The sequence below is a fragment of the Homo sapiens genome, chromosome 22 (assembly GCF_000001405.40).
Source record: "Homo sapiens chromosome 22, GRCh38.p14 Primary Assembly".
NCBI classification, from domain to species: Eukaryota; Metazoa; Chordata; class Mammalia; order Primates; family Hominidae; genus Homo; species Homo sapiens.
In genome coordinates this window covers 45,832,124-45,846,625 of record NC_000022.11, presented here as the reverse complement: position 1 = coordinate 45,846,625, position 14,502 = coordinate 45,832,124, and the positions used below count along the sequence as shown (strand labels likewise).

Sequence of the window (14,502 nt, the reverse complement as noted above, 5' to 3'; positions counted from 1 at the left end):
CAGAGCAAGACTCCATCTCGAAAAAAAAAAATCATTTAAATAACACTTAAATGCCATGTGTTATCAGGGCAGCACATGAATGACTTCAAGAGAGAATGGATGTAAGATGCACACAAAAAAATTTGATTTAAAGACGTATTAATTGGTAGCCCAAATCATCTCAATCATTTTTTCTATATCCTATTTTGCAAATGACATGTTTTAGCAGTTTCCAAAGCCCTATGCTTAGATTGTGAAGTTACTGAACAACAACAAAAAAATGCATCTCAATGTTAGCTCCTAAAAACAAAAACAAGAACAGAACCACAAAATCAGGACGTTGTATTAGTGCGTTCTCATATTGCTACACAGAACTCCTTGAGACTAGATAATTTATAAAGAAAAGAGGTTTAATTGGCTCATGGCTCTGCAGGCTATACAGGAAGGATGGCTCGGGAGGCCTCAGGAAACTTAGGATCATGGCAGAAGAGGAAGCAGGCATGTCTTACACGGCTGGGGCAGGAGGACAATGAACAAATATTAACAAATCCTAACAGTTTAGTAAGTTGGCCCTTGAAATCTGTGGAGTATTGGTTTCAGGAACCCCCGCTTGGATGCCAAAATCTATGGATGCTCAAGTCTCTGATATGAGCCTTCACAGTATTTGCATATAAACTACCCGCATTCTCCCACATACTTTAAATCATCTCCAGATTACTTGTAACACCTAATAAAATGTAAATGCTATGGAAATAGTTGTTACCTTGTATTTTAAAATTTGTATTATTTTTTGTTGTTGTACTACTATTTTATTTTTCCTGAGTATTTTCAATCCCCAGTTGGTTCAATCTGTGGATACAGAGAGCCGACTGTTTTAAGATTGCAAAAATAAGTATTTTTGAAATCTTCACATCCATTGTTAAGGTATTAAAAAATAATCACTCTGCAAATACTTGGACTCAGTATCAAGCTGAGAAGCCTTCCCCTCTATCTTTTAAAGTGAAGCCAGCTAAAAGCTTTGTCAGCTCGCTCTTGAAAGCAATAATATGGTCACAAAACTTGCTGTGACCATTCTGTCTCTTTACAAATTTTGTAAGGCTGGCCTGCTTTTTTCTTCCTTCTAAATGACTGATTGAGGTGATGATTAATCCTCTATAGCATGTAAAACAAGGTTCTCAGGAGCTCCGAGTCCTCCACGGTAGAGGACAGGGAAGCTGTTGTGCTCAAGAATTAATCCATCCGAGGGAATCAAAGGCAGCCACAATGCAGTCATCAGCATGTTTTCACTATGCAAGCCCCACACTTCCTACTTAGAAAACACATAACCATTACCCCATTCTGTATTCTCACAAGGCTCCCTTTTATTTATTTGTGTTTGTTATTATATAGCTCATACCGACAAGTTTGTGCGATTCCACTGGTGTGCACACATCCATTGAGACAGGAAAAAAAGAAGTGTCTATTGCAAACTTGTTAAAAGGGAAAAGGGACTCCCACTGTTTTCTCCCTTTGGCCAGGCTTCTATTTAGAGGACAGAGCTTTAACTCTTTATGTCCCAGGAGAGAATGACTCCTTTGTGTAATTTTAAATTCTGCAATGGCTTCTTTACTGATGGAAAGTCATAAATGAGAGAAAAAATGTTATTCATAGATTGCTGCAATCCTAGAAGCTGATGTGTCTTCAGAGTTACACAGAGTACATTAGACAGCACATGGGAAAACTTTTACTTCATTCTCAACATGCTTAAGCTATTTTTACAAATCAGTTAAACTATGTCTACACAAAGCTTAGAAGCACTTTATTTGGGAGCAATCAGTATTTTTGTCAAAACTTTTGGACAGGTCTTTATTTTTGTTTTGGAAGGTTCAACACGAATTGTGCAAAATCTCTGGATATATTAGTTTAGCGATATGGTTGTTGAAGAAAATAATATGTTTTAAGCATTCACAACGTGACCTCCCCCTAGAGCTTTTGTTGATGATATGAATGATCTGGATTCAGTGAGTTCAGTGGTCATTTAATCCAGTCCTACCTCTCATACAGCAGACAGATAGATAGATGAACAGACAGACAGATAACTAGATGTCAAATAAACTCCTGCTCCCTAAAAGTACTTTTGCAATTTCAGTGAAGACATGGCTAAAACTGAGTGGCACCTTTATGAGACTGGTGCTTTTTAAATCAAAGAAGATAGAAATGTACCTTTAATCTACGGCACTGCACCAGAGCAGAACATAAGCTATTCCTTCCCCCATGACAGAGGCATGAAGCTGGGGAGGACACAGGCATTCACCTTGACACAGAATGGGTCCTGGGATGTCTACTTCTGGGATGAACTGGAACATGAAGAGTTAAGTGCCCACATGTTCTCTCACCAACCTCACTCCCTGCCACATTCCAAAGGGATAGGGCTCAGTGACAAGACAGCCCAGTACCCAAAATGAAGAGGGAGGGTTCTCGAATTAATTAACTGGAAATGAGTCTTGTCAATGTTTTGGAAAGGCAGAGGGGTGAAAAGAGATTGCTAGAATTAATCACAGTGAGAAACTACTTCAACCGCCTGCCAGAGTTCAGAAAACCCAATGAGAAGAGGAATATAAAGAATGATGCTGACTTGCCATCTGAAGGGACAAACACAGTCAAGCCAACATCCAAGTTTTGTCAAATAAGGGTTGTGCCCTCCAAGAGACTGGTTTATTATCTGCTGTCACAGTAAGTACAATATATTCTTTAAATGCACGTTCTATCCAGGGGGACAAAGGCAAACCACACAGTTACATTAATGCAAAGAAACAAGAGAACACTCAGTTACTTTCACTTTTAGCTTATACACGTTAAACTCTACTACCTAAAAGATTTGTATGTTCCCAAATTTGTACTTATAAATCTTCAAACACTTGCAATTTCACATACGGTAGAAGATGAAAAATCCATGAAACAGATTCCAAAAATTCAGGTATTTGGATGTAGTTCATTCACTAAAGAAGAAGAAAGAAACAAAATTGCAGATGTAGCAAATCTGTTCACAAGATTCATCAGACAAAAGGGGAAAAAACCCAGAACTTTGGTCAGTGGTGACAAATAACTTAGAGAAACCTAAAACAATTCATGCAATATTATTCAAGGAGTTCTGTTTTTTAAACTATAGTGAACATTAACTATCTTTTAAAGAAAATCTAATTCCTATGAGTAACTTACTTTTAGACCATGTATAACTTTTGATATGCCTTTTGTATTTCTCACCCAGAATGAGTTTGAAATTGTCCCTCTTTTAAGAAAATGGCAGCATAAAGCCGGAACAAAAAAACCGTTTGCAGCTATCTTTAGGGCTTTCCTCGGTAAACCACTATAGAGGGCACAATTCTCCCATCCATATTCTTACAAAGAGCCTCGTGCTTGAAGCAATGGGGAAGTGGAAACAGCTTTCTACAAACCAAAGGGAAGGACAGTTCCCTCGAGGGTACTTACTGGCTTAGGGGTGTCTCTAGTAGATTTCAGGATCAGCTTTTCGCCTTTCTTTTCAACTTCAAAACCCACTTTTTTAAGTAGGGATGCATCTGCCAGCCCCTGTTCCTCCATCTTTGCAATCAAATCTTGGTTTTGGCTGTTGTCTTCGGTAAGGTTTCGGATGGCATATATCACCCACTGGGTCAGAACTGGAGCCAGAGTGAAGGAATGTGACAACGTACTTTCCTGTTTGATAACTTCACATAAGAATTATCAGAAAAGGAGTAGAGGAGCACAGAAACACGGAACATCCAGTATCAATCCACAAGTTTTCTTGAGGATGCATTCTCTGAATATGCATCTCAAGTGCAAACACATTAAAAAGAGGCAACGCAGGCATATGCACATGTACATCCAGCATGTGTGTGTGATGTCCAGCCACGGGCACCCAGAGAGATTTACTCAGTATTTGTTGAATGAATGAACAAGGAAGCAAAGACTTAGAGTAGCTCAAACTGAAGTTTATGAACCCAAGAACACACACACAGGCAAACGTGTGTGCGTGCACACACACACATTCCTTTGTTGAATAATTATGTTACTGACTCACTAGGGAAAGAATAAGAAGAGCACTAAAGAATCAGTCACAAAGACGTCAGGTTAGAATCAGGAAAATCATCTTGTTTTAATGGGAGCCCAGTTAGAAATAAGAATTGTTTCCTAGGAGTCACTGTGGAATTTCCCGCATTCAGTATTCTAAAGATGAAGCTGGAAGGGCTTTGAAGGATTTGCTGTGTTTAGTTTGAATACTCAGGCTCCTGAAAGCATCGGGGCTCACTGTGCCCAAGTGTTCACCTGGCACGTTCCGCTTGGCAGGAGACCAGAGACAACCTACGAAGACTGGGATAGCATCGCCACATCACTGAGTAGGGCATTTGATTTAATCACCAAGAGCCATGTAAACCTCATGCAAACATTAAGCTATTATATGTAGTTCTATAAAGGACTGTACAAAAACTACTGCAGGGACCAGTCTTCAGTGGTTGGATCCAGGGACATATGTAAGAGACTGCCAAGAGAGGCTGTGTCCCTACTGGGCCTGGCACCCTGATCCAGGGAGAACAACAAAGAACCTAGGGTAGAACAAATACCTATCCAAAGAAAGAGACCTCCCTGCCCACGAGCAGATAAAGGCAGCAAGACAAACAAGTCCTGTCCCCTGATGATTATCAGATGCTTCCCACTCGGGCACTGCCAATGCCAGAACCAGGGAGTCAGTGTCCCCACAAGGTATCAAACCCTAGAGCTAAAGAGCCAAGTCTTCTGATCTTGTCCTGAACACCCCTGTGCAACGCTGTGGACCAGTTCTGAGACATTTCTAGCTCCCCCAACATGGCATGAGAACACAGAGAAAACTTCAACATTCACAAAGCTGGTGCTCTTTCCTGTAGTATTTGGGAAAGAAAATGAGTCCAACAGTTTCTCTCCCTAATTCAACAGCCTCAAAAGAAAATAGTAAAAATGACTGTCCAATTAAGTCAGACAACTGAAACGTACTAAACACAGTCAGCTGTATGCTCAGGAAGTGTTTTTGGGGCTTTAAAAAGGTTGCTCCATCTTAGTCCCTCCAATACACACCGGGTGAGCTGGCCCAGGGTCCTCTCTGCTTCCCTACTCACAGCACTTAAGCTCCTGGCCTGTGTCTCCCAGCTCCTCCACAGCTGTGGTCGTGTGTTCCTGGGGCCTTGGGCCTCAACATGGAGCCTGGCACAAAGCAAAGGACCAACCAACATGTGCTGAGTGAATGACCTGCTGGTCTTTGGAGGTTTAGCATCAAAACCACTGGTGGGTATAAATGACTGACCTTTTCCAGATGGCAGAGAAAAGGACTGTCAGTGCCCAGCTAATGCTGGTTCTATAATCAGTCATCTGTCTATGGTGGGGAAAAAGTTCTTATTGTGTCATTTATCTGTCATTCTCTCGTGACAAAGTCCAGGTCCTTTATATGGCTGCATTTCCTTTCTGGAGACAGAATCTATTCAAATATTCAAAGGCATTAAACCTAAATTTGAATATCCGCCTCTTTTCCATGATCACTGAACCCCCACTTTGTGCCAGTATAGAGAATAAAGATAACGAGCCCCGGTATCAAGCACTTCCAACATATCCGTCAACTTCTCAACAATGAATTATTTGAGTTTCACACCCAGGATGTCACTGTCGATACACAAACTCATTTTCTCACCTTTTGTAGGAAAAGGAGGAGTCAGTGATTATGAAAAGAACTGACTCAAGGAGCAAGAAATGTAAGACTGGGGAATTTTTGTTCATGAGTATAACTCTCTAATGGTAAATGAAAGAAGCATAACACTCCTTTCTGAAACGTCCTGGTTATTCACTTAAATATAATTAAAGTAGGAAAGCTGAAATTCCCAATAATGCATTCAGAGCTCCTGAGATCAGAGGGGTGGTTGGCTCAGAAACTGAAGAGTCTGGTGCCAGCACCGTCACTGCCAGCAGCAAACGCAGGATGTCTCTGGAGGAAAGGGACTATCAAACTGCTCCACTCCAGGGCACGTGAGACCCTGCCAGACGGCCCCTACCCACCTCTCCTGCCAGGCGCCCTCATCTCTCAGCCTCTGACAATGTTGCAACGCTGGCCTCCCCTCTGTCTCTGCACACACGAATCCCTGACCTGGGATGTGCTTCCCTCACTGCTGCTTCCTTTCTCATGGGGCACACTTAGCCTTCGAGACTCAGCAAGTATCACAGTCTCCCGGAAGCCTTCCCTGTCTTAGCTACCCCTCGGCACCTGCTTAGATTAGGTGCACCTGCTGTCTGTTTCCAATGCATTCTCTCTCTCTTTTTTAACAGTTCTCATCACACTGCATTGTACTCATCTGCTTATGAGTCTGTGAGTTCCTCGAGGGCAGGAGCCCCATCTAATTGACTTCGATATCCTAGCACCGAGTCTCGTTCCCAGCACAAAGTGGATGTTCAATACATATTTATTGAAATTGTGTCTTGAAAGCCTAGGCTCAAGTGATCCTCTTGCCTCAGCCTCCCGAATAGCTGGGACTACAGCCACCGTGTCTGGCCTTATTGAAATTATGTAAGCTATGACTGTTTGTTTGTATTTCTGTATACTCTAATGCACTGTGAACTCCTCACAACAAGACCAATAGTACTCACTTCTCTGTGCTCTGTCCCTAGCGTGGTGCTGGGAAATGTTTGCTAAATGAACAAATGTAAGCATGCTATCTCTCATTCACCACGTGGGTGGGGCCATGGCGGCACTGCAGCGACCCACAGGCTGTGTTTTTGCCTCCTGTTGTTGGTGTGGTTTCCCGACCCAGGGCTTTTTAGGGTTTGAGAGATTAGATGAAAGTAAACCGATATAAATGCAACCCAGGCAAGGAGGCTGGACTGCATAAATAAAAGGTCCATGACAACAAAACACCAGAATTCCCATGTGGATGGGATCAAAGAGTGGATTTTCATCATGTTCATCTTGGGGTTGGAGGGCAACATTTCTATCACGTTTTGTGAAAATACTGTTACCACGGTATTTTAATAGCAACTCACCCTTCAAGTGTTTGGTAGCTAATTTCTGTAGAATGCAAACTTACACAATGCCCGCTTTATATATACGGCAAGTGGAGCACAGAAAGAATGAGACTGAAGAAAAGCCCTCTCGGAGATGAAGGGCTGCCAGGTGTCTCCCTCAAACAGGGACACTGGTTGCAGCTGGGGTGATGGGTCCTGCTCAGCCCCCTGCAGCCCCAGGCTTCAGGCATACTACTTCAGGAACAAAATATGATAGTCAAGTATTTCACACGGAGCAGGTTCTTGGCGCAGCCACGGACCTGACAACCTAATAGAAGAAACACTGAAGCCCAAAGCAGAAAAGGCATTTTTGTCTTCTTCCAAAATTAGTATCCAAAGTGCAAAAAGATGTAAGTCAAGGAAGTGTGGAAGGCTGACAAGAAATAAGGCCACAAGACCACTCTGGAGTCAACTCCCTTTCACGGCCTTGAGAATCAGAAATAACAACCAAGCCAATAATAGTAAACCTCCACACTTTTCATTTAAATATACATTTAATACTCTTACATATTTTAAGTGAAATTCATCTTTCCTTCCGGTTTAAGGAGGACTTCACGAAGGTAGAACCCTTATGCATTCTTCTTAGGCAGATGTGAAGTTTGCTCCACTGCCCCCTCTAAGTGAGCACCAACATTTTGGGGTTTGTGTTGTCTATCTGTAAATCAAATACTACACAAACCTCCTCTAATCTGTTCCTATTTCCAGTGAGAACATTTTAGCACTGCTGTCTTGGGTTCTAGACTTAATCATAATCACAAAATCAATTTTTCATAGTTGTTTCTTTCAAGAAATTTGAGTAGAAAATAAAAACACTGTAAAATATAGCCCTAGGAAGCGTGTCTGGTCCACAGCCCTGGGTCATGAATATGCATGCCACTCCTTGTTAGAGTGCAGCCTGTGCAGACCTAGACAGTCTGAAGTGTCACGAGAGAGATTAAAGCAAGTCTCAGTTAATATTCACATTGCCCTCTTGTTCCCTCTCTAAAGGGACAGAGAGAAAGAAAGAGTAGGGGAGAAAATTAAACATCTTCTAAAGTCTCTAATCCCACCAACATCTGAAGTGCTTTATTGTATGCTTAGCTTTAGAAAGAGAGCTTCTAACGTTTCCATAGCTACTACAAATAGAAGGCATGAGCCTGTTTGTTGCAAAACTGCCTTGAAAGAACCCTGCAATCAGCACTAGAGCGGGACTTGATAGTGCTGGCCAGCTCTTCAGCAGGGGGCTCTGGGGTCTTGACCCAGGCCACCAAGACCACAGCGTCAGTAAAGCACCTTGTACTGCTCAATGGCCGAGGCAGCACTGCACTGGGCCTCAGCTGGTTCAACACAGGGCCTAACACTAAACTGGGTGGCCTTGTACCAGCAAGGTGATAAGATATTAGCAGGGGAGAAGACCAAAGGCTGGGAAACAGCATGATACAGAAAAACAATCCACAGTAAGGGTATTAATAACCAGCAGATTGATGTGCCAAGCTCACTTTTAAAGTACAGTCAGGTAAGCTGAAATGTTAAAACTGGAATTGTCTGATGAGACAGATTGCATCAAGCTAAACTATTCTTCCAGCTATCAAAATCAGTGCTACTTAAAGTCCTCTACATCATTAAATGTAGACTCCAGGGCGACAGGAACTCTGTTCTGGTCACTGCTCTGTCGGTGTTTAGAAGACTGCTAAGAACAGGGGTCAGCAAATGATGGCCTGTGCTTTTTATGACAGCAAACTAAAAACAGTTTTAATATATTTAGATGATTGGAAAAAAATCTAAAGAATACTGATTTCTGGCACATGAAAATTTGAAATTCAAATGTCCGTATCCGTAAACAAGGTTCTACGGCACACAGCCATGCCCATCACTTGCCTGTGTTGGCGGCTGCTGTCACACTGCAAGGGCAGGGTGGAGGAGCTGCCAAGAGACAGCAAGGCCTACAAAGCCAAAATATTTACTATGTGGCCCTTCACAGAAAAGGTGTGCCAACTTCCGGCCTAGAACATGGGAAGCACTAATGGATATTTGTTGAATTAATAAATAAATAGGCCGGGCATAGTGGCTCACGCCTGTAATCCCAACACTTTGGGAGGCTGAGGCAGGCGGATCACGAGGTCAGGAGTATGAGACCAGCCTGGCCAACATGGTAAAACCCCATCTCTACTAAATATACAAAAAAATCAGCTGGGCGTGCTGGTGAGCCGCCTGCAGTCCCAGCTACTCGGGAGGCTGAGGCAGGAGAAATCGCTTAAACCCGGGAGGCAGAGGCTGCAGTGAGCCGAGATTGCGCCACTGCACTGCAGCCTGGGCGACAGAGCAAGACTCTGTCTCAAAAATAAGTAAATAAACAAACCAACCTTAAAAAGTACTGGCACTGAAAAAATATGCATTATGTAAATTAAAATGATTTAAATGTGTTAAAAGACTTTTCATAATGTTCTGATATATATGGACTTTATTTATAATATCTGTATAACAGATACATATATTATATGTAATATCTGCATTGTTTTCGCATCCAGGACATATATTTTAAAACTCTTTTTAGATAACAAACCCATGAAGGCAAGGGATTTGTGTGCTGCAGGGCTTTCCAAAGTACGCTGTGGAGCAGGGAGGGGCGCACAATTAGAACCTCTCCCAGAGGGGGCCTGCACATAGCATGGTCAGCACGGGCAAGCCTCCTCCACCCAGGCTTCTACAAACCTGTGTAATTATCTGCCCTGTTAGAAAAAGGTTTTCCTAGATGAAGATGCTTCACAAATCCCTTGTCACATCTAAACAAATATCTTCTCGGACCATGGTAAAATGTAGAGTTTTTTAGAGTGCAAAGTAGTAGTTCAGTTTAAAAATTGCTCTCAAAATGCGTTATATTGCACAAACCAAAATACTTTAAAATATGCCAATTTCTGTCAGCCAAAGAAGAAAACATGCCAAGAGTGTGGCCCTGAAAAGGCAACCTCCTCACCCCATCTCACCCCAGTGCATCCCCAGGGGGGAGTCCTCATTGACCTTGGCCCTGTTCTCTAAGAACTTTCTTACTGAGAGGAAAAAAGACACTTCCCAAAGTGCTGCCCAGGGAGCCCTGGGCTTCCTGGAGTTTCATGGGACTTGTGCTACCTGTTGGGACCACCTCCAAAAAGAAGAGCTCCCGCTCGCAGGGTGCTGGAGAGCAAGGCAGGAGGCAGGAGACAGGGAGGGGGCCAGGCAAGATGGAGGTCCTGGGACAGGACATCTGAAGATCCCCTTACTTTTGCAAGGGGTCACAAGTTTTTCAGAATAAACTCGAATGTCAAGAGATATTTTCATTGCTTTCTAAAGTTCACTTTACTTCCACCTTCATCTGCTATGATGATCTTTTGTTCTCAACTCTCATTTATGTCAGTGGTCCCACTGCATACTCTTCTCATTCAGAAAATTAAAGTACAAGTCTAATTTATGGTGCAGATTCTACACAGGGTCTCCCTGCATGACGCTGGAAACTATGTGTTCAATACCCACCACAAACCACCCATTTTGGCTCCCTCTTCCTTCCCTAAATTGTTGGTCTATCTGGTATCTAATTTCCCTCTGAGTTTTTATATTTTAATACGACAGAACATCTGTGCTTCAAAGGTTTCCATGCAATGCTGTATGTACTGTTCTATGTTTCGTAGCCTGTTATGCCTTAATAGCATTTAAAAATAAAAGCTAAAATCATGAGTATGTATACCCTCCAATTTACCAATTAATGGCTAATTGCTAATACTGAAAGTGTTAAAAAAAATACTAAAAGAAGGCAGAGAAATAATTGTCAGATTTGGAAATTATAGGTTACAATCTGAAGAATATAGAGTAAGATTTGCATTTAATACACACTATAAGAAAGAGCAGTTTCAGTCTTTCCGGAGGGAAAAAGCCATCTCAGCAACACCCCTGCACTGAAAGCTGAGGCTGCTAATCGGCTTCTAGGCCGTAAGGGAAGTGGTACATAGGCCCCATAAAACACTGCTGAGTTTGACAGAACTACATTTCACACCTCTGTCCACTAGAGATTTTATATCTGTGCATAACCCAAATCAGTACTTTATTAAAGATGCTGAAACGAAGGCCCATTCACTGTCCTTGCTTGGCACAATGTACTTTCCATAAATTGCAAAGGGAGAGGGGAGATGTTCCTGACTTCACAGGCCTCCTCTCTGAAGCCTGAAACCTCTCTCTGTACAAGGCTCACACTTCCTCCACTGCACCCCGTGGGCCCGAGCGAAGGGCTGTGGCACCAGTGCGCTGTCCAGGCCTTGCTGGGCGTGTACTCTCCATCCCTCACCAGTCCCAGATGTGAAAGCTCAAGCGCCCGCGCCAGGCAAAGCAGGACCCATGAGCCCACGCCAGGCAAAGCAGGACCCATGAGCCCGTCCATCTGGCAGTGAAGTCATGGGAAGATGACCTGTGCCCTGCCCACTCCAAAAGCTTCTGTGGCCGATGGAGGGCCGCGCTCACAGGTACCTCACATTCACGGGGTTTTGGCGGTGAAGGATCCTGTGGCAATGAAACTAATTTTGTACATGACATGCTCTGGAATCATTTTACTGACCACTTCAAAGCAAAGCGTGGTACGAAGCAGTCACAGTCTGGCAGCCCCATCACACACAGGTTTCAGGGTCAGAAACAACCAATACCACTTCTAACTTAAACCACACGAAAGGGTTTTGGGGCCATGAAGTAGTTCCAGTTGGATTTGGGGCAGCACTCCAATGTCACATCTGAGACTCGGAAGGAGCCACTGTATGCAGCATGGTTAGCAGAGTGCCTGGCACACCCATGCACACCGCAGACATTCAGGCCACGGTGCACGAGCTCTGACTCCAGAGAATGTGTGCTCACCATGTGCTCAGACTCCTATCTTACTGGTCCTTGTAGCTCCTGGCTACAGTATGAGTGTTTAAAATATTTGCCCATTGGTGCCTGGATTTGATCTACTTATGAGGCGGTAGCTCCCAGAGTTCTGTCAGATCTGGGCTGAAAGGGAGGTGTGATTTAATAAATGCATGTGGATACACAGCCACGATACAATGTCAGCCTTCATGCTGCAGGAGACAGTTGTGGGGGAGCAGCATTCTGGGGACAATAAACTTCTAAAGTAAACAACAGTGCTCAGTGTCTCCACACACAACCCGGGACACTGCCAGTAGCACACCGGCAGAGCTTCACTGCCCAGATGGTGGCAGGGGAGGTCCTAACGATAGGGGATTTATGAATGGGAGTCAATGGAAACCCAGTAGAAACCGGGGAAGTGTCAGGCCTCACCTGCCAGGTAAAGAGGCTGTTTACCAAGTACCTGGTGATCTTTGGGATCAGTGGCCAGATAATAAGCTGGCCCCACTGAATTTCTGTTCCTGGAACACACTGCCACTCTCAATGCAAGCAAAGCTTTGTACAATTAAGTGTCTCTCACATAAGCCAAGACTGAAAATGAGATTGTCAGTTTACCTTCATAAAATAGTAACACGAGTAAAACTAATAAAGGTAACAGCATCAGTTGTCACATTCCAGGACACAGGATGTGCCAGGGGCTGTTCTAAGTGTGAAAGCATTCAATCCTCACAAACTCTCTATGCGGTAGATGTTCGTTACTATCCTCATTCTACTGATGAGAAAACTTAGACACAGAGGCGAACATGGCCAAGGTCCCGCAACTGGATGTGTTCAAGGTGGATTTGGAAGTAGGCAGTCAGGCTCTGGCATCCGCTCCCCTGATCGCGATGCCGTATCGCTGCTAAGTGTGCTCTCGCGACCAGTCCATCCAGAGAGACCTCTGGAGGGCAGAGCAGTTCTTCTTCCGGGTTGCTATGACTGCACGTTTCTGAGCTATGCCTACAAACCAGTACAAGGAACGGTAGGTTTTGTGATACATGAAATACATCCCTTTCTCTTCAAAGAAATCCCAAGTGATAAACTTGCAGATACCAGTCAGAGTAACTATCTCTGCAAAATACCTTTAGAACTAGCTAATAAGCTAACAATTCAAAGTGAAATAAAAATTTGGAGCAGAAAAAGTAAACCCACCTAAGTTATAAGACATTAGTGTTCGTCTAGCACTGTTGATATTTCAAAATTAATGAAGTACAGCCAAGGATCAAAAATAGTTCTAAGTTAGAAAGGATTAAATGAAGAACATGAACAGGGTGGAGCTTCTGGCGATTTAGAACAGACAAGACCCAGCAGGCCCTGAGGAGTCAAGGAGCGCTCTTATGCTGTACACACCAGTGTCTGGGCATCTGGTAGCACTTGCTCCAATGGCATTAGTTACCATGGCCATCCTGACCTGCCTCCTCACCCCACCTCCCCCGACGCCTTCAGCAGCTCCCAGGAAGTCGGTGGTCAAGGGTGGGGAGGGCTTGCAGGGTGAACAGGGACAGATACCAGATGCGTGCGCTTCCCAAGGACTCTATGATGCTGCAAAGTCAGCACAGGAGAGAGGTTCTCATTTCATGCTGTCTGCTTTCACTTCTAACAGTAATAGGTGACTCAAGAGTTACCTGCAGTCTGATTGATTTCTTTCAACAAGGAGATCTCTAATTCTAATTTGTCCTCATCAGGGGAAGAGCACTACTATATCCATTTAAAGTCAGGACAACCTTCAGCAGAAAGGTATAATACATAAATAACTCCAACATTCACTATAACACTTTAGACTATTTAAAAGCCAAGTGGTCATGCTGGTGACACTTAGTTCTAAAACTCTCCCTTGACGCGTATCTCTCTAAAAAATTTCTGAAGTACTGAATATTTCATTTTGGGGAGAAAATTCATTGAATTACAGAAACTTAATACTTTAACACTGTTTTCCTCTTTTCTATGAACAACACACCTCTTGATATTTAGACTGGCGTTGGAGCAAGGGATTTAGATATGAACAAAAATTCAAACTGTTAATCTTACATCTGAATGTCTCTCAAAAATTTAATCATGATCTATTCATTCATTTAATAAATACGAAGGCAAAATGCTCAATACTGGTAAGACAACAGCTAACAGGATAGTCCAGTCCCTGCCCTTGGGGCGTTTACATTCTAGCACTTGCAGAGGCAGGCCCTAAACCAAAAAACAAAGTCTGAAAGGGGTGACAGAGCATAATTACAAGAGGACAACTTGGGGAAAGAGGGGAGTTAGGGAAGGCCTCTCTGAGGAATTAACATCAGAGCTGAAACTCAAAGGATGAAAAGAAGCCAGACCCCTGGAGAGCTGAGGAGGAGGGTGCAGATGGGAGCAGGCCACACAGCGCCTCCACATGGAGGAACACTGATGAGAAAAACTTGTATGGCTGGGAAGAATGAGTGAGGGAGAGTGGATAAAAAGAAGCAGAGGTCAGTCAAGGCCAGCTCCTTCAGGGATTCTTAGGCTATGGTAAGGAGCTTGCTGTACTGCATTCTAACACAATGAGAACTCATCGAAAGAGCTGAAGTAGAAAAATTAAGAAGCTCTTGTGGGCAGCTGCGTGGAGAG

At 43.4% G+C, this 14,502-nt stretch overlaps 1 protein-coding gene across 2 annotated transcripts in view, besides 1 other annotated feature; it reads right to left on the bottom strand.

Annotated features, from left to right (window-relative positions):
• Window positions 206-1,591: an enhancer, noted in NCBI's record as "VISTA enhancer hs1559". NCBI's record gives its function as "enhancer in: neural tube[13/14] | forebrain[13/14]" and the evidence as "EXISTENCE:transgenic organism evidence [ECO:0001131][PMID:17130149]".
• ATXN10 (ataxin 10) overlaps window positions 1,319-14,502 on the bottom strand; it is a 173,474-nt gene continuing 160,290 nt past the window's right edge. For both annotated transcript variants that reach the window (NM_013236.4, NM_001167621.2), the window contains 2 exons: window positions 3,448-3,635; window positions 1,319-2,957 (listed from right to left, as the gene is read on the bottom strand). In NM_013236.4, the coding sequence (NP_037368.1) occupies window positions 2,955-2,957; window positions 3,448-3,635 (191 nt within the window). In that variant the 3' untranslated portion in view covers window positions 1,319-2,954. The remainder of the gene's footprint in view (window positions 2,958-3,447; window positions 3,636-14,502) is intronic.